The 23,280-nt window shown below is 49.3% G+C and overlaps 1 protein-coding gene and 1 long non-coding RNA gene across 23 annotated transcripts in view, besides 6 other annotated features; both read left to right on the top strand.

The window, feature by feature from the left end:
- The window catches only part of ACTN1 (actinin alpha 1), a 105,175-nt gene that overhangs the window by 1,511 nt on the left and 80,384 nt on the right, over positions 1-23,280 (top strand). The window contains exon 1 of one of the 22 annotated variants that reach the window (NM_001424028.1): positions 226-414. The exons of the other annotated variants lie outside the window; for them this stretch is intronic. The gene's annotated coding sequence lies outside the window, so the exon portion shown is untranslated. Of the gene's footprint in view, positions 1-225; positions 415-23,280 lie in introns of those variants that run through there. 22 annotated transcript variants of the gene reach the window in all.
- Positions 3,923-4,423: an enhancer, noted in NCBI's record as "H3K4me1 hESC enhancer chr14:69440086-69440586 (GRCh37/hg19 assembly coordinates)". NCBI's record gives its function as "activates a minimal SCP1, AML or CMV promoter by ChIP-STARR-seq in naive H9 embryonic stem cells {active_cell/tissue: H9 hESC(naive)}" and the evidence as "EXISTENCE:reporter gene assay evidence [ECO:0000049][PMID:30033119]".
- Positions 4,441-5,396: an enhancer, noted in NCBI's record as "H3K4me1 hESC enhancer chr14:69439113-69440068 (GRCh37/hg19 assembly coordinates)". NCBI's record gives its function as "activates a minimal SCP1, AML or CMV promoter by ChIP-STARR-seq in naive H9 embryonic stem cells {active_cell/tissue: H9 hESC(naive)}" and the evidence as "EXISTENCE:reporter gene assay evidence [ECO:0000049][PMID:30033119]".
- Positions 9,183-10,021: an enhancer, noted in NCBI's record as "H3K27ac-H3K4me1 hESC enhancer chr14:69434488-69435326 (GRCh37/hg19 assembly coordinates)". NCBI's record gives its function as "activates a minimal SCP1, AML or CMV promoter by ChIP-STARR-seq in primed H9 embryonic stem cells {active_cell/tissue: H9 hESC(primed)}" and the evidence as "EXISTENCE:reporter gene assay evidence [ECO:0000049][PMID:30033119]".
- Positions 9,613-14,328, top strand: LOC124903336 (uncharacterized). Its single transcript, XR_007064228.1, has 2 exons — positions 9,613-9,661; positions 9,729-14,328. It is a non-coding gene; the product is annotated as an uncharacterized LOC124903336 (long non-coding RNA).
- Positions 15,183-15,878: an enhancer, noted in NCBI's record as "H3K27ac-H3K4me1 hESC enhancer chr14:69428631-69429326 (GRCh37/hg19 assembly coordinates)". NCBI's record gives its function as "activates a minimal SCP1, AML or CMV promoter by ChIP-STARR-seq in naive H9 embryonic stem cells {active_cell/tissue: H9 hESC(naive)}" and the evidence as "EXISTENCE:reporter gene assay evidence [ECO:0000049][PMID:30033119]".
- Positions 21,630-22,355: an enhancer, noted in NCBI's record as "H3K27ac-H3K4me1 hESC enhancer chr14:69422154-69422879 (GRCh37/hg19 assembly coordinates)". NCBI's record gives its function as "activates a minimal SCP1, AML or CMV promoter by ChIP-STARR-seq in naive H9 embryonic stem cells {active_cell/tissue: H9 hESC(naive)}" and the evidence as "EXISTENCE:reporter gene assay evidence [ECO:0000049][PMID:30033119]".
- Positions 22,356-23,082: an enhancer, noted in NCBI's record as "H3K27ac-H3K4me1 hESC enhancer chr14:69421427-69422153 (GRCh37/hg19 assembly coordinates)". NCBI's record gives its function as "activates a minimal SCP1, AML or CMV promoter by ChIP-STARR-seq in naive and primed H9 embryonic stem cells {active_cell/tissue: H9 hESC(naive and primed)}" and the evidence as "EXISTENCE:reporter gene assay evidence [ECO:0000049][PMID:30033119]".

Below are 23,280 nucleotides of genomic sequence, written 5' to 3'. Positions count from 1 at the left end.
CGCGTCCCTTTGGATAGTGCGGTTAGGGCTGGGCTTGAGGGAGAACGCTCATGTCCAAAAATGGTAACATTCATTCCCTTTTTTAAACTTAAAAGGGGGGTAGTTTATAGAGCCGACTGAAGTTTTTTTTTTCAGCCAAAGGCATCCTGTATTAGCTCACTCAGGAATCCTAGGCCCTGAAACGGAGCCCTTTTACTCACTTCATCAGACAGGCAGAGGTAATCTAAAACACACACAATGGGCTTCCTCAAAGCAGGATGACCTGGGCCGCGGTGCCCAAGGCCTATGCAGGGCTGGGCCCTATACAGCGACATCGGTCATCTACATCGGACATGGGAAGGTCCCCTGACTTCGAACTGACTTCTTTGTAATGTGCCAGTTGCTTAAACTCCCCCTCTTCCTGTCATCTTCCTAGTAAGAGCTGAAGACTGGGGGCTGCAGACAGTCCCCCACTCACTTGGCTTATTTCCTGGGACCATGGGTGCTGTGGGTGGAACTGAAAAGTGAGTGAGTAATTTGGAGATCCCTATGGGGCACCAGGCAGAAGGCTCTTTAATAATTTCAGGGTGAAGCCTTCTTGAGAATGGATTTTAAATTAGAAGTGAGATTAGGGTGGTGGATTGGGGTCTTCCCTGGGGGTTAGAATCGAAGGAGAAATCCCTGCTTAGGGAGCACCTGCTTTGTGCCTGGGAGGGGCAGGAGTAACAGAGCTGCCTAGGAACTAGGCCCCTGAAAGGACTGTGAGACCAAGTTCCTAGGGGACAGACACTGAGCACCGGCCTGAACATCGTATTTAATATTTCTGAATGAATGAATATATTAAACGCAGTGGGGAGAAGAATATAGATTCCCAGGGCTCTGACCTGGGTGGCAGTGGGTGTGCCCCAGGCCTTTGGGCAGCCAGGTAGGAAGAGGTGGTCTGGGAAACTGGGTTATCCTGGAGGCAAACTCAACAGTGCCAAGAACTGGCATTTGCTGATATGTGCCAGGCACGAACAAGGACTAGGAAACCAGGGCCAGAGAGGGGAAGTAACCAGCTCCAAGTCCAGACTGTGTTTGGTGGGGCTGGGATGCAGCCATGTTTGGGACTGGCAGCTTCCCCTCACTTGTCCCTCCTTGGCAAGGGAGGCAGGAAAGCTGGGCCTCGCAGCCAGAGCCAGAGCATCTGGGAACCAGGAGAGCCGACACGTGCTTTGGGCGGGGTTGATGGAGGGGCCATGGCAGAAGGAGCTCTGGGCCTGACTCTGAAGATTCAGATCCACATTTTTTGTTTGTTTGTTTCCTGTTAATTCTCTAGATTATCTTTCGTGGGCCTCAGTCTGCAGAATTTCTGGCCTGCCTAGTTCTCAGTAGGGTGATATTAAGGAGGTGGTATTACAGGTGAGGGATAAGACGTAAGGTAAACGTGTTGCTTTTGACACTCTTTCTACTGACTGGGAGGCGGGGTTTGTGTGGGACCAGAGTCCACAAGTGGACAGAGGCTGATGGTTCCAGAGGGAGGCAGGGGAGTGAGTGTGAGGAGGGGAAGAGGAGGACACAGTGTAGAGGGATACAAAGGTCACCCGGTAGAAGGCAGAAGACCCTCTTTTTAGCTTTGGTGCAGCCATAGCTATTTCTGAGACTTTGGGCAAGTCTTTCCATTTCATCGAGCTTTTATTAGGTCATTCAGCAAATACTTTGTGAGCACTCATTCTGGGTCAGACACAGTTCCAGGTATTAGGGATGGGGCACTGAGCAAGACAGACCAAGTTCCCGTTCTTGTGGCATTTCCATTAGGTTTCCTCCTCTGTAAATGGGACACATTTCTGCCCGTGGAGCCCTCAGGACTCTTCTGGGGAATCAGGTTAAATGATGCATTGAGAAGTGCTTCCTTGGTGAAAGTATGGCCTGATGTGGAGGCAGGGAGAAGTCTGTGCAGGCAGGAGGCATGACTCAAGAAGCTGCACTGGCTTGGCCGAGGCTTGTCCCTCTTTCAAAGAATGCTTCGGTACGGAGTTCATGGGCTGGTCGCCATGCCTCCAGACACAAAATGCAGTTATCTTCCAGACAGAGCACGTGGATTAGAGGCATTTCCTCTACTTTTCCAGGTTTCATAACCTTCCTGATCTTTGAGGCTGGGCTCTGAAGTCACTTTTCCTAGGAGTTGCTGTTATTTTCAGGGTGACTGCAGCCCCCAGTTTTCTCCCTTATGTAATTTCGCTCACATTCTTAGGTGTATGTGTGTACCCAGTCAAGCTGGAGGTAGGTCAAGCTGGAGAGAGCATCAGCTTGGTGTAGGATCCTGGCTCTATTATTTTCAGGCTTGTGACCTTGGGCAAGTTCCTCTCTGAGTCTCCAATTCCCTACTTATAAAAAAGAGCTAATACCTACCTTGCTGGCTTGATGCGAGCAGATATGTAAAATGGCAGCTTCTGCTGTTAAATTTTATTTTCTCTCTTCCTTCTGAAGTCCTAGAGATTATGGTTTAATGTGTGTTTCCACAGGTGCCAGCCTGTGGCCTTTTACATGTAGGAACTTAATCAATACTTGTTGAGCGAATGGATGTTGAAACAGAGAGGCAGCGTTGGCAAGTGCATAGAGGTGGTTGTGAATAAGGCCCACATCCCGATTCTGCAGACAGGTGAGGCTAGGTCACAGGAAGAGGGGACACATTGTTTGCACTTCCTTCTGGACAGCAAGGCCATTGCAGGAGCTATAGCCAAGGCCACCAGTCAAGGTGGAGGACTACAGAGAGAGGAAAATCTGCAGGCTGTGTCGGACTTGGACACCCCTTTTCATCTTCTCGAGGAAGGCATGGGGCTGGGCACCTGGCTGGGGGCCATAAACCATCAGTCTGGCTCAAAGACTTGTCACACAAGACCTGGGGGCCTGGAGCCAGGGTGGGGCAGCTGGAGCCTGAGATGTGGCCTAGTCACAGATGTGCTATGTCGGGTCTCTAGGAAAGAGCCCAGCCCTTAACAGGGTGAGAATGTAGACAGTTCCTTCTCATGAAGGCAATCAGTAGATGTTCATTAAACCCCTGTTAGGTATCAGATGCTCTGCTTGCTGTGTAGAGTGTGGAAATGAAGGTTTAGGTAGAGAGGGAACCAGAAAGATGCAGAGTTGCAACAGGCTCTGCCAATAATGGCCATTGGCAGGAGCTGGTGGAATTGGAGGTGCATCTCAAAGGAAGGCGGTTCTGCTGGGAGCCTTACCTTTCCCTGGCATTTCAGCCACGTGTGTGTGTGTGTGTGTGTGTGATGTTGTAGGACAGAGGTGGGGAGAGGGGAGATGCCTGAAAGGGCAGAGCAGAGCAACAGTGACTATCCATGCTGGGGAGCACCCCCTCCCATTCTCCCTTATCATTCTTCTATTATAGTTTAAAATTTTTAAATTTATGTTTTATAGAGATGGGGGTTTTGCTATGTTGCCCAGGCTCTTGGCCTCAAGTGATCCTCCTGCCCCAGCCTCCCAAAGTGCTGGGATTACAGGCATGAGCCACTATGCCTAGCTTCATTGTTCTTTTCCATTTGTTTTGCCCCTCCCAGAGCTGACCTCTCACCTTTCTGCGAGAGACGGCCAGGCCATCTGGACAGGTCACAGACCAGATTCTCAAGTCCACACCTCTCTACAGATATTGTTGGGATCATCCCAGCCAGTTAACCCCACCTGAGCTGCCTCCATGTGTAACCCACCTGTGGTTTTCCTGGACTTGGTATGGAGCCAAAGGGTACCTTCCCCACTGGCCCTGCTTTTATGCCCTCTTTAGAGTGCATAGAGAGATGTTGGTAGGCCCATGTCTCTGCTAGAGGGGCCTGTGGGTTGGGCTGAGTTACTCGCCATGGACAGTGGTGGGGTCCTGGAACCCACCAGCTGAGATGGTTTGGGCGGTTCTAGTCTGCACCTCCCCAGAGAGGTCATGGCAGAGAGGCCAGGCACAGAGGAAACCCGCTGAGCCTGCTTCCTTAGTTCTGGCAGATGGGTCAGCCCCCACAGGACTCAGGATTCAATTTAGCCCGGGGTTCTGGCTCCATCTCCCACAGTGCCGGTGCCAGTGGCCTCCTAAGTACTGTTTGGCCAAACCTGGCTCTGACTGAGACAAGGAGCCTTAGGAGTAGTAGGGACAGGAGACACAGCAAACTAGGGCTCAGAGCCACCCTGGAACCCCTTCTTCCTCCCTCTTCATGCATGACCAAGGTTTCTGTATTTGTCCATTCTCATGCTTCTAATAAAGACATACCCAAGACTGGGTAATTTATGAAGCAAAGAAGTTTAATTGACTCACAGTTCAGCATGGAGGCCTCAGGAAACTTAAAATCATGGCGGAAGGGGAAGCAAACATGTCCTTCTTCACATGGCTGCAGGATGGAGAAGTGCAGAGCGAAGGTGGGGAAAAGCCCCATATAAAACCATTGTATCTTGTGAGAACTCACTCTCACGAGAACAGCATGTGGGTAACCACCCCCATGATTCAATTACCTCCCACCGGGTCCCTCCCACGACATGTGGGGATTATGGGAACTACAATTCAAGATGACGTTTGGGTGGGGACACAGCCAAACCCTATCAGTTTCCCACCTATCCCCAGGCTGGGCATCAAGTCCAGGCTCCCAGGAATCCTTCTCTTCTCAGCAGATGGGGGGAAACGCATGGAGAGGGTTGCCCAGGCTCCCCCTTCTCTGCCTCTCCTGCTTTCCCTCCTTTCATGTCGTACCAGGGGGTTATCTGGCGGGCAAGTCTGGTTATCTGGGCATGGTGAGTCTGGTCTAGTGATGGGCAGGCCCCAAAGCTGTGTGTGGCAACGTTCATGACCCCAACTGGCCCCTTCCGCATGCACCATTCTGCCATAAAGTTAACAAGATTCCTTTTCTCATAATAATTATAGTGGCTCGCCCTTTTTGAGCACATGGTAATTATCAGCAATTGTCCTAAGGACTCTACATGCATGAGCACATCTAACCCTGTGAGATGGGTCCTCCTGTTATCCCATTTTGCAGATGAGAGAGCTGGCTCGGAGCAGCTGCGGAACTCCTCCAGGCCCACGCAGCCAGCAAATGGTGGAGCTGGGATCTGAAGCCAGGCAGTCGGGCTCCAGCATTTGCACTCCTTCTCAACTTTGCTCTGCCGCTTATACAACAAATGCTTGCGTGGGTAGAACATTTAACCCAAGACAAACATATACAAACAAAACCCCGGTGATGGAAATGTTCTGGAATTGGATAGTAGTGGTGGTTTCACAACCTCACAAATATACGTGAAACCACTAGATTGTACATTTTAAAATGGTGACTTTATGGCATGGAATTTTATCTCAATTTTTAAAAACCTAAGAAATTATTAACTAATATAAAGAAGAAAATGACAATTGCCTGTCATCCCACCTCCCAGAGGTAAACAAGCATTCACAGGATTTCTGATGGCTTCTGCCATCCTTGTCCCTCTTCCCCTGTTTGTGTGTCCCCTTCTCTGTCATGCCCACTTTTTAGAGCTGGGGTCCAGGTTTATGATGAGTGAGAGGAGTTTAGAAGAGGAAGATAAGGGCGGGAGCTTTTGTAGAAAGCGGGATGAAGGATGTGGCTCTTTCCTTGGAAACTGACCAGGAATAGATCATAGATATGCACAGGCAAACAGAAGACTGGGTGGGTTGGGGAGAGGGTGGCCTTCATTTTCCAAGTCTCAGTCCTTGGGGAAAATTTCTCCCTAACCTCTGTCTATAAACCCTCTTGGCCTGGGATTGCTTCTCTCCGTGTGCTCTCCCCAGGGTTGGCAGGGTGGGAGTCCAAGTGAGGCAGCTTTCCTTAGGGTTGTAGGCAGGGGAAGGGGAGGGCAGGGCCAGGGTGCCCCCCAAAGGAGGCAGCTGTACCACTCTTGGAGGTTGCCTAGCAATCGTGGGGAAAGGTGACCTAGCCCACTACAGAAGCGGGAGGAGAATAAAAGGCAGCCAAAGATGGAAATCGGGCGTACATTGCAGAGGAGGCTGTTCCCCTGGAAACTGCCTCCTTGGTCCTTGGCTACAGCAGGCTACTTCTGGGGTGGGGATCTGTTCTCCATTAAGAGGGAGTGGGGTCTTCCCTAGGCCTGCCACCCACAGGTCAGGGCTGGGGGACCTAGGGAAACCCTTCTTGCACATGGAGTGTATGTCAGATGCGTTTGTCAGTGGCTTCATTTAACGTTGACAACAGCCTTGTAAGATATGTGGGATGATGACACTTCATAGATGAAGATCCTGAGTTTAGAGATAGAGAACAACATGTTCACAGCCGCACAGCGAGAGAGGCCTGGAAATGAAGGTGCTGGCACCCTTGACTCTTAAAGGGAGCCATTCATTTTGCTTCAAAGCATTTCACAAGCCCAAGGTACTCGGAGGTAAATGTAAACACTGTCCACCTCCTGGGAAGGGAACAGAAGATGAGAGAGGGAAGGCTGGAAAGGTGTGTTACCTGTTTTATATCAACCATCCAACCAACCAACCAACCAGTACTTATTAACTATGTCTTGGTTTTCCAAGTAAGTACAAAGACGAATAGTTCACACTGATTAAATGCTGAATGGTTTGGAGTACCTCCACATGTCAAACAACTCTTTGGGGAAGGGACTGTTAGTTTTCTTGGTACAGACAGGGAAATGGAAGCCCAGAGAGGTTAAGAAACTTGACCAAGATTAGGCAGATTGACCTCAGAACTCGGCTTTTAACCAGAAGTACAGACACACTCTTTGCTATTAAGGAGTTTATGTTTGAATTGGGAGGCAAGGCTTATATGGAATTGAAATAAGAGAACAACTCATTGTGGCGCATTTTTAACATTTGTGCTTCCATGTGTGGCTTTCTCTTCAGTAATCATGGTGAGCAAACTTGTGAGGTCTTATCCCCATTTTACATGCAGGGAAAGTAAGGCTCAGAAAGGTTAAGCGACTTTACCAGGCTTTCCGTAGCCTGGAAGTAGAGTTGGTTTTCAATCCAGGTCTTTGACGGGAGGGTCTGTGAGGTTTAAGGGGATGGACATAGGCCTCAGTGAAGGTACTTTTCTTGGTTTTAAAGGTAGTGAAGGATGCAAGTTGTATTTCTCTGTGTTTTTCAGTTGAAGCAGTAACTGTCAGGAATAGACTCAAATCCCCTGAACCTGGAGGCCTCCCCAGTCCCACGTTCCTGGTGGCCTCTTCTGGTGCTGACCCCAGCTTTTGGGAGCTAGCTTCCCCTGCTTTAAGATTCAGCAGCACCCTCCCCTTCTCTCTTGTTTTGGTTCCTTCAGTTTCACCTGTTCTGTCTGTCCTTCCCTTTGTTTAGAGAGTCTCTTCCTTTGTGGTCACCACGGGAACCAAACAGGCTTTGAACCAGGCAGCCGAGGCTCAGGTTTATTTTGATTTTAAAAGCCTGTGCACGTGAAACCCGTAACGTTTGAGGTTCTTGTTTAAGCCTTGAGACGATTTAGAAAGTTGATGAGGGAGTGGGGGACTTAGGTTGGCTTTTGGTGTTACAGGGCTGGGGAGTTTTTGTGCCAGGTCAGAGATCAGCACCAAGTGGGGGGCAGTGCCATTTCCTGACCCCCAGCTTTGAACCTTCCAGGCCTAAATCAGAGGCCCCAAATGTTCAGCTCCAGGCCAAAGAGCAGTCGGCTGGGGGAAGGGAGCCTCCTCTCTGTTACCTTGTTTTTCCTGTTTCTTGGTGGTGGGTGATCGTGGGGCTGTTGAAAGCATGGTCACAAGGCCTGTGATTTGAGGCCAGGCCAGGGCTTGTAGGGGAGCATTTTTATGGGCCTGAAGATTTATTTTTTAAAAGCCATCTGCAAAGCTGATTATAATTGATGGGAGTGAGACAGCATCTGAGCTCTATTTTCAAATCATCTGTAGGTGAAATGACGGGAGGGGAGGCAACTTCAAGGTGGGTGGGCTCCTTCAGGCCGGTCCCCTAATGGAACTTGGCTTTCCAGGCTGGAAGAGGCACCAAGCCTTGCATGTGGGTGGGAGGGGTTCTTAAAATCAGACTCTATCTTTTCTCCTTATGTCTGATGTGGAGATGTCCAACGCATAACAGCCTGTAGTTTGGGGATAGAGAAGTGGAGCTTTTAATTCTTCTGAGTCAAGTCTCGACACCCCCAATATGGGGTCTTGGTCCAGGAAAAAGAGGGCAGCCTCCACCGAGGTCCTCTGTCTTAACACTTGTGTCTGTCGGGTCTGTGAGCAGGGGTGCCTGTCTGTCAGCGTTTGGCTGCATGTGTCTCTCTGGCTCCAAGAAGCCCCTCTGTTGTTTTTGGCCACCTCCTTGACCTTGGCAGAGGAGTGGCTCCCTTTTAAACTCCGCAGACATCCTCCAGATAATAGATAATGGCGCTTTCCAGTCGAGTTCCCGATATTTTGTAAGGGCCTTTCTTTCCAGGAACCCAAAGTGCTTTTCCAGACTTGGCCCTGGGAGCTGGGAGATGCAGGAGGTGGCTTATGAATTGTGTTTTCCTGGAGGCAGGGAAATGGGGCCAGACCCCTGGTTTCCTGTCCTTCATCTCGGATACTGGTGGCTGGGGCTGCATGGAGGTGTTTTTGCATGCATGAAGTCCTGAGGCCTCTTATTAGAAATCTGCATATTTTCCCAACTTTAGCTCCAAATGAAGTTTTGCTTTGTAGCTTTCTTTTTCTCTTCTTCTTTTTCCTCTTTCTCTCTTTTCTTATATTTAGAGGTTCATTGTGTATAGTTTCTTTAAGGAATGCCACATTGGGGTCTCAGTTATATAGTGGGCCCGTGTGCCACCCCCTCACTGAGTCTGCTTGGCATGGGCAAGGAGGCCACAGTAGCACCCAAAGGTGCCTGGCTGGGGGGCCTGTACCTGATGCCTTTTCCCCAGAAGCCACTGGTTCGGAAGCAAGCTCAGCATAGGCCCACATTGCTGGCCCTGGGACTGTTCTGGGAATATGGAGCTGAGCATCCCTGCGTCCCGCTGCCCTGCCCCCAGCAGCAGCCAGCCCTGGTACTGTGCTTTGGGCCAGGCACATGTCTAAGTGCTTTGCAGCTATTAATGTAATCCTCACAATACCCATATGGATGGCTTAGTAGGAGGTAAAGGCCATTTGAGGGTATTTGGAAAGACCTGAAAGGTTCAGGTGGTTACAGCAAGTATTTCTAGATTTTCTGACCTTGAAGCCAGTTCACAAAGACCATGTTGGCTTCAGATTTTTATTTTCAGGAAAGAGTACCTTGTAGAGTTGCGACCGCAGTGTTCTCCCTGATCCCGTAACCTTCCCTCACCGGAGTTAACCGCTGTTCCAAGTTTGGTGTTTTTGTTCCTATACATTTCTTGCCTATATAGCTGTCTGTATCTTTGTGCCTGTTTTAAAACTTTGTGTAGATGGGGTCATACCCAATGCATCACTCTGTTCATTGCTCCTTTTGCTCCCACATCTCCTTTGCCCTGGAGCTGTAAAGGTAGACCTGTGGGAGCTCTGCCATCCCTGTTTTGTGGCTGAGACTGCTGAGTTCCAAAGCACTTGCCCAGGTCACACAGCAACTTGTAGGTGGCAGGTGGGACTGAACCCGGCTTCCTGCCTCTGCGGTGGCGTTCGTATGTTACACCTGCCACCCTGCACCCCGCCAGTGTTCAAAGACTTGCTGATGTTTGATGAGGGAGGGCAGGAGACGTCAGTCTCAGTATCTTACTCTCTTTCCACCCACACGTGTGTGTGGCATCTGGTGTCCGTACCTATGGGTCCCTGGTCCCTTGCCTGCTGCCCTCTTTTCCTGGGCTTGAGATTCAGGTTCCTAGGGACCTATGCCACGTTGCCATTTTTTTCACCTCCCAGGGTAGTAGTTGTGCTTTTATTACTTCTTGATAAAGCAAATGTGTCATGACGAAAAGGTGCGTGAATTTGGGAATGCTTCTAAATGAGTTTATATTTTATGGCTCAGCAGCCTCTTGTGCCATTTGGAAGCTGGCTGTGCTCTGCAAGACAAGAGACTGCTCTGGATATGAGGCTTGGGCTGCATGTAGAGTTTTGGAAGAGGCCAGATGTGGGGAGCCACGATGAGCCCCACTCCGCCAGGACCATTCCTAGGCTTCAAGGACAACAAGTGGGGTCCCAGTTGAGTGGCCTTTGTCCCTGTCTGATTTCCCTCCTCTTGCCTTCTTATCTTCTGGCTCTCAGCCACTCGGCCATTGCCTTGCCCAGTTAGTACCTGGGCTAGGAGAGTCAGAAAGGACAGATATGTGGCAGCCTGCCTGCCTTCATTACACTTTCTTGGGGCACTGTTGTGAAACTCCTCTCTAAAGACATTTAGAGGATTCTCAGGGGATGTCACTGATCTGTAACTGATCTGAGGCTCCTTGGATGATCAAAGGTGGATTTGTGGAGTCTCCTGGGGTCCCCCTAGTAATGGACTTTCAGGAGCTCCCTGATGAGCTCATCCCAGCACCCCAAAGAGCAGGTAAGCACGAATCAAGCTTGCACATACTAGGTATTCACCGAGTATCCAGTGTTGATGAACAGTGGTGGTGAGGGCCTTTGGACAGGAGTGTGGCAGCTGTAGTCCTGCAGGAGACAACTGACAGATGCTGAGGGCCTGGGTGGTGGTAGTCTGAGTCACCAAGGACCACCCCAGAGATGAGGTTGATTGCTGGGACCAGGGCAGAGGCCCAGTTGGCTCCTCAGGACTAAGAGGTGTGTCCTGGAATCAGAAGGAGGACAGGGGCCAGGGAAGCTGGCCTTGTCATTGGGATGGGGTCATAGCCTAGGATGACCTCAGCCCCTGCCATGCTGCTCAGCGCCCCTCTCTGAGCTGGTGCGTCCAATGGTAGGCTGGTTGGAACTGGCACAGACCTCCCAGCTCCCTACCAGCCAGCCTAGCTGCGTTTTTTCTTTGGCTAACAGCCCATCAGATTCCAAGGTGCTGGCCATACTGACATGTCCCTCTTCATCCTGCCCCTTCCTCTCTGGAGGGTGGGGTTATTGCATTTGGCTGAGCCCTGCTTCAGAAAATCACAGGGAATTTCTGGTCCTTTTGTGTGGGTTTGTGGACCTTAAAGGAAGTAAAACCTGGGTCTTGGTTTTCCTTCTCCTTCCAGTCCCTCTGCTGAGGGTTCTCTCTGGAGTGTTGGACGTCAGCAGCCCACTGTCTTTAGCCACAGTATCCCGAGGGGTGTGGATCTAGATAACTGTGGGGCCTCAGCAAAGCTTTCACCTGCCTCCTGCTCCCTTTCTGTTGGGACTTTGGGAGTGGCATTTGGGAGTGGGGATAGGTGTGAAAAGACTGTCTTCTTTGATTTATTAGGCCAGAGAGTTGTTTGGCAGAAACCTATCTTGTCCCCCAGGAACAGGAAGAATGGTTGTGTGTTAGGTACCGGGGCCTCAGGAGACCCGAGGTCTTGTCCTAGTGCTGCCTGTGGCCACTTTGTGATGCTGGATAAGTCACACCTGAAACCACCTATAAACCGAGAAATTGGATGGTAGGATGGTGGTGGGGCTCTGTTCTAAAGGCTGTACTTGGATTATCACATGCAGATGATCTCTGGGGTCTGCGGTGATGCCAACATTCTGTGTTTCTGCCCTCTTGGACACTCAGCAGAGTTAAGCACTTCTTTTTTTAAAAACAAAATTAGTTACTTTTTTATTTTTTGAGACAGGGTCTCGCTCTGTCACCCAGGCTGGAGTGCAGTGGCATGATCTCAGCTTACTGCAGCTTCTACCTCCTGGGCTCAATTGAGTCTCCCACCTCAGTTTCCCAAGTAGGTGGGCCCACAGGAGTGTGTCGTCATGCCCAGATAATTTTATTTTTTTTGTAGGGACAGGGTCTTGCTGTGTTACCCAGGCTGGTCTCAAACTCCTGGGCTTAAACGATCTCCTGCCTCGGCCTCCCAAAGTGCTGGGATTACAGGCATGAACCACCATACTCATCCGAGTCAGGCACTTCTAAAGGTGACCTTGCAGTTGACTCCTGGGCTTTGTAGCCTGGCCCTGAAGTTAACTATTCGGCGAACACAGCTTCTTTAGGAGCCCTCTGTGTCTTCAGCTTTGAGGAGTTTGTTCTCACCCTCTAGGGAGGATGCAAGTGGGGCCAGGTGAATGTGCTTCCTTTATAGACAGACCCAGAAGCCAGTGCTCTTGTGTGTCCTGGGCTCTGCATTCACTCTGGCTCTGGAAATACCTGCTTAGGGTGTGGTCCTGAGTGGGAGGCCAGGTGCCTGGGGAGGGGAGAATCAGGGAGGCACTCTCCCTTGTTTGGTGTTGGTGAAGGGTAACTTAGCTCTGCCTTCTAGTCTGGGTGCTCCAGGTGTGTCTGGGGGTGGGGATGCTGGAGGTGGCTCAGGAGAATTGCAAGGTGGACTGATCATAATTGGTCCTTTGTGTAGACTTGGCTGACCCACAGGCCTGGTGTGAGGAGGCTGCTTGCCTGTGGGCTCAGTGGGTCTGAAACACTGGCTGGAGCCAGGGAGCAAGGCTTTCAGCCTGGAATCTGCCCAAGGGACTGGTGTCAATAGGTGGCCTTGTCTTTCACTTGTTTATTTGCAGAGCCCAGCTCTGGCCCTTCTCTCCTTTGCAGCAGTTTGAAGAAATCAATAGAATGCCCAAGCCAGAAGGGACCTGCACTGTCACCTACCCCTCTTCTCCCTCAGATAAAGGGATGAGGTCCATAGTGGTGATCTGATTTGTCCAAGGACAGTCTGCCATGAGTTCATTCCTTGTGGGGCTAGATTTGGTAAGGATTCTTTATTCTGGGTACACGTAAGCCATCTTCTGAAGTTATCCTTGCAGGTGGGCTCCAGAACACCTGCAGATAGATGCACATGGGGCGGGCCTCTGTATTCTGAAGGCAGATGAAGCTGCTGGGGTTCTGGCTAGTGTGTGGGTGGTCAATTTCAGATGAATTTCACACATGCAGGCAGCTGCACCCTGCCAAGTTGGAGGTAGTGATCCACATGCGGGCCCTTACACTCTGATGTTCCTGGGACTGGCTCTTGCGTTTGCAGTTGAGGAGGGAATGGAGAGATGAGCCTGCAGGAGAGAGGCAGCCTGGTGGCGGCGGTGATCTTGGTGTTAACAGCCAGCACTTATTACCGCATGTCCAGCACTGTGCTAAGTCCATTACGTGCATTATACCAAGGAATCATCATAGCCGCCCTATGAGGAAAAGGTACTGTGACATTTTTAGTCCCACTTTACAGAAGGAACTGAGGCTTAGAGAGATTAAATATTTTCTCCCAACTCACAGCTTTTAGTGGGGCAGTTGGGCTTTGATTTCAGGGCTGCCTGGCCAGAGTCCACACTGCTAACCCCTGTCCTAGTTGCTTCCTCTCTGCTAGCTCATTCCTTCTGGTAGCAAGCACCAGCTGTCAGCCCTGACTGGAGAAGGGAGGCCCCTCATGAGAGATGGAGCTGAGTCTCCACCCTCCCGGGCCCCATACACTTCTCTCCTGACCCGTACATTCCTGTGCACCAGGGAAGTGGCCCCTCTCTGGTCGTGGAGACTGAAGTCCCCGTGCTGTGTTGAGCAGTGGAGGTGGGGGTGGCTCAGGTAGAATGGAGGGTACTTGACTCCTGTTTTTTGAGGGAAAGTTGCCTTTAAGTTGGAGGGATGCTGTTGGCTTCCTGCAGCTGCTTGCTGCCTTTTGATGACGCCCCTGTGCATGGGGGCCTTCAAGTGTAGGTGGAATAGGCAGGGTTGGAAAGGCTCTTTTCTCCCCACAGTCCAGGAGAGGCAGTGCTGGAGCCCCTTATTTGCTGTTCATCCTTTGATGGGTCAGCATAACCTTTATGTTACAAATGCCAATAGATATTTAATTCCTGGGGTGGCATAAGGTAGCAAGCAATTTAGAATTTAATAAAATTACAAATTCTTGGGGAGATGATTCTGATTTCTCTCTTTATCCATGATGCATGCTAGTTGCATGAATAAATGAATGAATTTTTTTAAAACTTATGGAAAATTCACACACAGGAGTAGAGAGAATAGTATAGTGATTTCCCATATACCCATTACTCAGCTTCAGCAATTAGCAACAGAATTGCCTGTAATATTTAATCATCTGGGCTATTTTATTGGCACTGAGATTAGTGTGCTAGTGTGAACTGCTAGGAACTTCTCAAGTGAGAAAGGACAAGCGGAGAAGAAATGATATCATAGTATGAATAAAAACTCATCTTTGTGGTGCTGCCATGCTAGGCAAGTTGCAGGTGCTCACCGGAGGGTTTGAACTAACTGCTCTGGATAACTGGCCAGGTGGTGTTGGGTTCCAGCCCCAGGTGGGAGGAAAGTTTCTGAAGGGTGAGTTCAGCTGGATACGTGAGATTCTCAAACACACACTGGGGCAGAAGGCACTGCAGCCAGCCCTAGTTCATCTACTCAACTCATGTTTACTGTGGATCATCTTTTTTTAAAGTTGACATTTCAAACATAAGAAAAAGCATTGAGAATCATAAAATGAATATCTACCTGCTTGCCACCCAGACTTAACAAACATAAAGCAGACATTCTTTCCAGATGAGGGACAGATGCATGGTCTCTGTCTCTAAGGAGGCCTGTGAGTGAGAGACCCAGGGACGGGCAATTTCCTTGTCATATACAAAGATATCACATCTGGTATAGAGAATGGAGTTCCAAGGAAGGCTCCAGCCCATCCTGGAGGAGACAGGTAGGACTTCCTGGAGGAGGTGATCATGTGAGCTAAAAATCAAATCTGGAATATGTGAGTCAGGCCAAGCGGGTGCGGGGGCAGGGTCAAGGGGAGGTGGGCCTGCAAAGGGTGTAACCAAAGGTAAGAAAAAGGGAGTGCAAAGTTCTGGGGAGGGAGGGGCAGGAGGTGAGTGAGGAGTGGGCTGGGTGCAGCTGGAGTGAAAGATATTTGGGAGTGGGCAACAGTGAGGACTGGTGAATCAGTGAGGGACAAGCTCTGGGCATCTTTAGGGCAGTAGCAGGCACCAGGCTTGTCCTGAGACCTGCTCAGTGCGTGGCTGCCTGAATTAGACTCCACACATTGAGAGGATTATAGACCAATATAATCCCATGCAAAGAAACCCACACAGCGGGTGCGGAAGGGCAGAAACTGTATCAGGACTATTTGATTGACCTGGGCTGCTTAGAGCAGGCTCCAGGCTGTCATTTGAAAGAGGGGATGTGTTGGGTTGACCCAATGGGGAGAAGTAGGACTTGGTGAGAGTTGTGTGGACATGGAATCTGGCTCAGAATAGAATTTCTAACAGCCTTCCAAAGAAGGGATGCATGGTTGGGCGAGAGTTTCATGGTCTTAAATGTGTTGAAGTAGTCTCAGGTTGGAAGCAGGCAGGGCTGGGGTGTGGAGGGAGGAGGGCTCTGCATTGCCTGGCCTTCAAGGCCTCTCCTTACTCTGAGTTCTGAGATTTAGGCTGGGGAGGGTGGGTAAGTGACCTGTGGGCACAGGCAAATGGTGCTCCTGGGAAGGCGGCTGTGGAGGAGGTGCTGGCCCGTTGCCATGGGAACCATCACTGCCGTGGGTTTCCAGTTCCAAGGATGCCCTGGAAGGGAATGAGCTCACTCCACCTGCGAGCTGGTGAGTCAGCCCTGCCTCTCCTGCTTGCTCGCCAAGGCTAGGCGGGAATTTGAGCAGTGGACCCTGCCTCTACCCCCTCCTCAGACCACCCAGGCGCCCGTGCCCTGGATGTGGGCTCTTGTCGTAAAAGATGCAGGGCAATAAAGGCAGCTGCCAGCCATTCTGGCATCAGTGGGGATCCTGACTCGGGGAAGCTGCTAGCCTAGTTGGCTAAACCTTGGCTGTGTTGCAGAGGGTGAGCCATTCTCTCTGCCGGCCACTCAGCTGATGTGGGCTGCACACCAGCCACAGCTGTACTGGGCCAGGGCTTGTGGTCCAGGGGGTAGATGGGTGCCGAGGGCAAGCTTTCAGGGTGTCTTGTGAAGGAGAAGTACAGGCTGGGTGGGTGTGAATGCCTGTCGGTCGGGCGTGGGGGTAGTTTCTGGAGGTGGATGAGGAATGCTTCCCGTGGGGAGTGGCTTCTGATCTGGTGCTGGAGGGATGAGGAGCAACTAGTTTGCCCACCAAGTCCTAGGCATCTGAGGCCAGCCAGGGTCATGGCTCCTGCCTCCTCCTTCTGTGCCCCTCCCCAGATGCCCAGTTGTGAGGGAGTGATCAGAACATGTCGGGGGTATTGCAAGAATCTCAAACAGCTGTGACTTGAGTGTACAAGCCATTTTTATCCAAGACCCTGTGAAATCCATGGCACCACCCACTGGGGGCTGGTCCCTCAGGATCCACATAGGGCCTATAGCCCACCCCCGTGCCCCCGCGCCCTGTGCCCCGTGTGGCGGCCTGTGAGATGCATCAGAACACCCAGGGGAACACTGCGTTTCTAGCCTCTGCTTGCCTTACTTGCTTCACCCACATGGGCCTCTGTTTCCATTTGAGAAGATAGATAAGTTAGGGGAGAAAAATGACCATCTTAGACCCTTTCTCCTAAACATAACCATTTATATTTTCAGAAACCTATTTTTATTTTTAATCTTCATGCCTGCATTATTCTGATAGCGGTAATCATAGTGTACATAAAAATTAGCTCTGCTTTTTTATTTCCCCACTTGGCATTTTATCAAAAACACTTTTTCTTATATAGTTACACAGCCTTTATGTTCCTTGCCTGGAGAAAGTGAGATCCAAGTATAGAGATTGTTTCATAAATACATGTTTATTTGTACTTTCCTGCCTCTTTCCAAAAAGCATTTGAGGTGGATATATTAAAAGTCTCGTGTATAACAGGGTTTTTTGTTATTTCGTTTTAGAGACAGGGTCTCACTCTGTTACCCAGGCTGGCGTGCAGTGGTGCTGTCATAGCTCACTGCAGCCTCAAACTTTTGGGCTCAAGGGATCCTCCCACCTAAGCCTCCTCTGAGTAGCTGGGACTACAGGTGCATGCCACCATGCCTGGCTAATTTTTACATTCTTTTGTAGGGTCTTGCTATGTTGATCAGGCTGGTTTCGAACTCCTGGTCTCAAGAAGTCATCTGACCTCGGCCTTCCAAAGTGCCAGGATTACCAATGTGAGCCACCACACCCCCTTCCTTCAGAAGTTTTTTGTTGTTTAATTTTTTTTTTTTTTTTTAATAGAGATAGGTTCTTGTCAAGTCACCAGGACTGCTCTCAAACTCCTGGCCTTAAGTGATCCTCCCCGCCTGGCTTCCCAAAATGCTGGGTTGACAGGTAGGAGCCACTGTGCCTGGGCCAGAGTTTTAAATTAAAGTTAGAAGATCCAGAGCTATGTCATAGTGGAGGTGAGACAATTGTTAAGAAAACAATGTTAAAAGAGGTTAGTTTTTAAGAAATTTTAATGTAATTCCCCCAGCTTTATTGAGGTAAAATTGAAAATTTTAAATTATATATATTTCAGTTATGCAATGTGATGATTTGATAGACATGTACACTGTGACATGATTACCACAATCAAGTTAATTAACACATCCATCACCTCACATAGTTGTCATTGTTTGTATGTATGTATATGTGATGAGGATACTAAGATCTGCTGTCTTAGCAAATTTCAAATAAACAATATACAACCGACCCTTGAACATCACAGGTTTGAACTGTGCAGGTTCACTTACAAGATTTTTTTTCATAAAAGTTATACCGACTGTGCCTGCCTCTCCTGCCTCCCCTTCCTCCTCCTCCACCTCTTCTGCCTCTGCCACCCCGAGACAGCAGTAGCTGTCCTCCTTCTTCTCCTCCTCCTCAGCCTACTCAATGTGGAGACAACCAGGATGAAAACTTTCATGATGATCCACTTCCACTTACTGAATAGCAAATATAGTTTCTCTTCCTTATGATTTTCTTAATAACATTTTTTTCTGTAGCTTACCTTATTTTAAGAATGCAGTATGTAACATACAACATGGATGTCGATGTGTTTTTAATCAAATGTTTATGTTATAGGTAAGGCTTATAGTCAACACTGGGCTACAACAGTTAAGTTTTTGGGGAGTCAGTTATATGTGGATTTTCTACTGCATAGTGGGAGTGTGAGGGTCGTTGCCTCTTACCCACATGTTCTGGGGACTCAACTGTAGGATTATTAGAAATAGTAACTATCCTGATGGAAGGTTTGTACCCTTTGACCAACATTTCCCCATTTCGTTCAACCCCCCTGGCTCTAGTAACCACCATTCTACTCTCTGCTTCTATGAGTTTGATTTTTTTAGATTCCATGTACAAGTTAGATTATGCAGTATTTGCTATGTCTTGCTTATTTCGCCTAGCCTAATATTAAAAGAGGTTAGTTTTTGTAAGTCAACCCTGACCCTGGTTCTGAGCTTCCTGGCAGCCGAAGCAAAAAGAGAACTTGGAAGTATCAAGTGTTTATTTCTTAGTAAAAGAAAGTATACCAGTTCACGAGAAAGGGGCACTTTTTGTAAGCACTAAAAGCTGAGTTTTACCATTTTAGGAGAGTGGTGCAGTAAACAGTGCTGTCAGTATTAGTTTCATGGAACACACAGAAACTTTTTGTATACTTGTTTCTTAAATCAGCTCCCATTGAAAGCCACAGGTATGGTGTTAAATCACACTTGTAGGAAGGCATTTCTGTGGGGAGCTGAGGCAATGAACTCGAGCTCCACTGTTTCCAGAGGTTTAACCTCAGAGAGGCACAAGTCCTTTGAGATACTCTTGAGCACTTCTTGGAGACTCTGTCGTGGCAGTTGTTTGACAGGAGCTGGAGAGCAGGCTGTGTGGACTCCTGGCTCTGAGTTCAGAGGTTTTCTGAGGTCTTCACAGAAAAGAGAGCTAATAGGTTGGTGCAAAAGTAATCGCGGGTTTTGCCATTAAATGTAATGGGAATTTTGCACCAACCTGAATATTTGTTTTGGGTGCTAAGCATGTGAAGGGCAAAGCTGCTTTTTTATTATGAAAATGAGAGCCTGGCCCACTCTCCCTTTCCAGAAGGATGGCTGTCGAGGCCAAAGTTGTCTTCTAGAAGCAGTTTGGGATCTGCCCACAGAACTGGGATGAGGCCCTTCAGGAAGGAAACAGTGTGGTCAGTCGGGGCTGGGCCTGGGCAAGTCCCCCTTACCAGCTGCCTCACGCCCTGGCTGCTGGCATGTCCTCTGCTAATAATTCTTCCATTATTGGACACTTCCGTGGTTTCCAGTTTTGGCCTATCGTAGATAATGCCTCTATAAATATTCCTTTCATGTGGATGTTTTCCTGCATTTTTGGATAATATCCAGGAGCTGGGTTTTTTGATCATACTCGGAAAGGATCATTTCTGAGTCCTTTTCCATGTGAATCAATTGCTTTCAAAAGACTGACCAGCTTAATGTGCCACCTGTTTTTTTTTTTAATTGAAAAGGAAAGTAATATTTATTGTGGAAAATTTGGAAACTACAGCAAACTACAAAGAAGAAAATAAGAATTAGCAGAAATTCTACCACCCTGAGAGCACAGAGGTGTGTGGCCTGGTGCACACACCTGGTTCACTGCTGCAGTGAACTCGTCTCTTGTCAGGCAGGGGTTTGAGCCTCGGACAGTCCCCTGCTAGTAGTCTGTCTAGGTGCATGGGGCACCTGATTTTCCTCTGCCTCAAACGGTCTTCTCAGCCACTAATTTGTCTGCCTCTGAGCATACATTTCTAAGGTTTTGAAGGCCCTGTTAACCTATTAATCTGTTAATCATAGAAAGCGGTTTAGAAAACTTTTAAATGTCTAAATGTTTGGGAGGAAATGTTAAATTATCACTGATTGGCTTCTTAGTAGATTCCTCAACAGCTACCACCTGCCAGGCGTGAAACCCAAGAGGTCGGGACCCCGGGCTGATGCGCTTCGGTGTGAGAAGTGGTGGAATCGCCTGGGAAAGTTTTGCCCAGATCTGACTCCTGACCACGTTCCTCAAGTTCCTGTCTGGCTCTGAGGCTTGTCTGGAGAGCCAGGGTGTTTGGTAAAATGGAAGGGAAGTGCGAGCGATCATAAATGAGAACCTAAACCTGCCGTCTCTCACTTCCCTCTCTTCACTTCGCTGAACCAGACATTCTCTGGGCCAGGTAGACACGCCCCTCTACTCCCCTGTCATTAGGAGGAAGCTTCCAGGGCAGGGAGACCCCTTCCCATGCTGGCCAGATGCCTTGCTGAACTCTTGACCAGGGTACTGGTTGTGGGCTGAGGGTTGCTGACCCCCTGCAACCCACAGAGTTGCTTCTGTTACTGGGTAGCTCCACCATCACCTAAGCAGTTACATGTCAGACTGAATTTCCCAGAATATGGGGCAGGAAGAAGATGGTCCATTCGTGGAATTACTTGACCTCAAATAGAGAGCGAGGCTTCAGTCCTTAGGAACTGTAATGACTGATCAAAGAGTTCCCGGATGGCTTTAAATGCCAGAATGGGCATGGCAGGTGTGCTGGGCACTGTGCACACAGCAGTGGCACACCTGATGGCCGAGTCATTGTTCAGCATATAGGAGCTGATGCACAGAAGGCCCCCTCTCCTGCCACTCTAGCAGTTTCATTGAGTTGGGTGGGATCTGGGCAGGGACCACAGCTGGAGGTCACAGGTGTCTCTTGGGGGAAGAGGGGATGAATGCCTAAATGATGGCATCTTATCCAAACCCCTCTTACCATGCATGGAACTCTCAGACAGACTCTGTTAGAGATGTGCCTTCAAGATAGATGCTCGATGTTCTTAGAGCTGTGTATCCTCCGGCCAGCCCATCTGACACATAGTTGCAAACAGCTTTCAGTTTTCCAATTTCCAGGGGCTGTGGATGATTAGAACTTTGGAACCATGGGATTCACCAGAGAGAATCTTGGTTTGGGGATGTTTCCTTGGGGCAGAGAAGGGGGAAGCCACTGGAATGTCTCAGCTGCTGTTTGTGTTGTTTGGGTGAAGAGCTCCCTGTTGGGATCTCGTGATGCCTCCAGCTTGTGGCCATGTGGATGGGCTGGGATTGATTTGTTCTGTCTGGTTTGTTAGACACTCTACCCGCTTTGTCTCTCCCCACCCAGAAAACCACAATGAACTCTAAAGGCTGGTCCAACTAAGATTCATGGTAACTGGGAGAGAGAGAGAGAGGGACTTGAGGAGACAAGAGTGACTTGTGCTTTGGTCTGTGAAGGAGAGGTTCCTTTGCGATGAGGATTGGAGGTGGGTCATGCAATGAGGGGCCTCCTGCCTAAGCTGTATTCAGTGATCATTCGCTGCAGGTGACCACAACTTCCTTGTAGATATTCTAGCTCCCCTGGGTATGTCCACCCTCTGCTACCCAAGTGGAGAGGTTCACTCCAAGGCTATATTCCTTATAGGATGGCCCGTGGACCACCTAGGTTTGTGTAAAACTGTAGCTTCCTGGGCCTTTTCCAGACCTCCTGAACCAAATGCTCTGTTAGAGCCCAGAAATCTGCATTTCCAGCAAGCGCCCTACTTAATTTTTAGATAAAGCTAGATAACCCTATGAAGGATTATCTGGAGGAATATTATTGCTTCAGTCTGAATGGAAAGAGTTTAGCTAAATGAACTCAATTCCTTTACATTTTTTCCCCCTTTAATGTTTTTCACTTTTTATGAAAATGGAGACAGGGTCTCACCATGTTGCCCAGGTGGGTCTCAAACTCCTGGACTTAAGCGATCCCCCTCCCTCTGCTTCCCAGAGTGCTAGGAATACAGAAGTAACCCACTGTGCAGCCTCTTTTTTTTTGTTTTTGAGACAGGGTCTTCATCGTTCTGTAACCCAGGCTGGAGTACAGTGGCATGATCATAGCTCACGACAGCCTTGGACCCCTGGTCTCAAGCAGTCTTCCTGCTTCAGACTCTTCAGTAGCTGGGACTATAGTGTGTGCGCCACTGTGCCTGGCTCCAGCTGCTTCACTCTTATTTACTCTTCCTCCAGGACCTTCTTAATGAAGCTTTGTCTCCTTGTGGCTTAGACCGTAAATTCACTAGCCACCCCCAAATGTGAATCAAGTATTTCTTCTGGACGCCAAACCCCCATGACTTAGAGCAAAAGTGAAGAAAGGAAAGGCAATCTGTTATTGCTTTCCTGGTTGTAAACTGCTTTTGGATTTGGAGCACGTGGTCTGGTTGGCTCTCTGCAAGGCTGCTTTAAAGCAACACTGCAGTGCTAGCAGTGGAGGCCCTGCTGATCAGTGATTCATCCCAGGGATTCTGAGGGGCCATCCATATCAGGCAGGTGGCCCACCCTGCCCACTGATCCCTCTCACCCTGCTCAGCAGGTCCTCCCCTGCCACCGAGCGCAAACATCTGTGTCCTTCAATGACCTGCCCAACTCTGTTTGGTTTCCTGCGGAGAGAGGGCTTTTTAACTTTCTGCTTCCTGCCTCGCCCTGCTTCCCTGGTTGGCCCACCGGAGTGACCTCTGATCCTCTAGTCTCAGTTGAGCCAAATTCTGACTGTGGACTGTTGTCTGGGTTCTAGCTTTCTTTCAAACCGCGTGACAGTAGGGGTTTGGGTTGGCTCTAGACACGGTGAGCGCCTAGTCATTGTCATGAGACTGGATCATTTCAGCCTGGGGGTCTGCCAGCAGTTGTGTGTTTTGCTGGGATAGACTCAGACAGCTCCCTTGAGACATTCCCAGGCAATGGGAAGCCTAGGAGGCCTGCAGGACTCAGTTTACATGCAATCTCCTACTGACTCCACACCTGGGGTTCATTTTGGAGGCTCTAGGTCAAGAAACCCTCTGGCTGCTTCCCTCTTTTTCCCTGTGGGAGCTTCATAGGGTAGATGTGGAGGCCACAGTGTATATGGGGACCAGGAAGCTCAGAAATAGAGGGAGGCTGATGATGGGGGAGCAGAATTGAGTGTGGCATGGAGGCTGCCAGGGGAGCTGTTACAGGTCTGCTTGCATCAGAGTGGACTAGGTTGACGAGAAGGATTAGTAAAGAGGAGCTGGGACTTGAAGCTAAGATTTAAGAAAAAGGATCTCCAGGACACTTCATCTGGAGGCCCAGAGAAGGCAAAATCTTCCAGTCAAAGCAACTTAGCTGAGGAACAATTTTTAAAAAGAAAAAAAGTCTGACCAGGGCAAGGTTCTAATAGAGCGAGTGATGTGTTCATTTCTTAAGGTGTTGCACATTGGCACAGCCTTCAGGTTAGCATCATGGCTGTTGATGCAGCAAAAGCTATGAAAATGCTCAGACCCTTTAGCCCTGTAATTTCACCCCCCAGGAGTGTGTCCTAAGGAAACTGTCCAGCTGAAAGAAAGACATGCTTAAAAATATTCTCTGTATGGGCCGGGTGTGGTGGCTCATGCCTGTAATCCCAGCACTTTGGGAGGCCAAGGTGGGCGGATCATGAGGTCAGGAGTTCGAGACCAGTCTGGCTAACATGGTGAAACCCCGTCTA

This window comes from Homo sapiens, chromosome 14, assembly GCF_000001405.40.
Source record: "Homo sapiens chromosome 14, GRCh38.p14 Primary Assembly".
In the NCBI taxonomy this organism is placed as follows: Eukaryota; Metazoa; Chordata; class Mammalia; order Primates; family Hominidae; genus Homo; species Homo sapiens.
The sequence above is the reverse complement of the archived record's forward strand: the minus strand, read 5'-3'. Positions and strand labels throughout refer to the sequence as shown.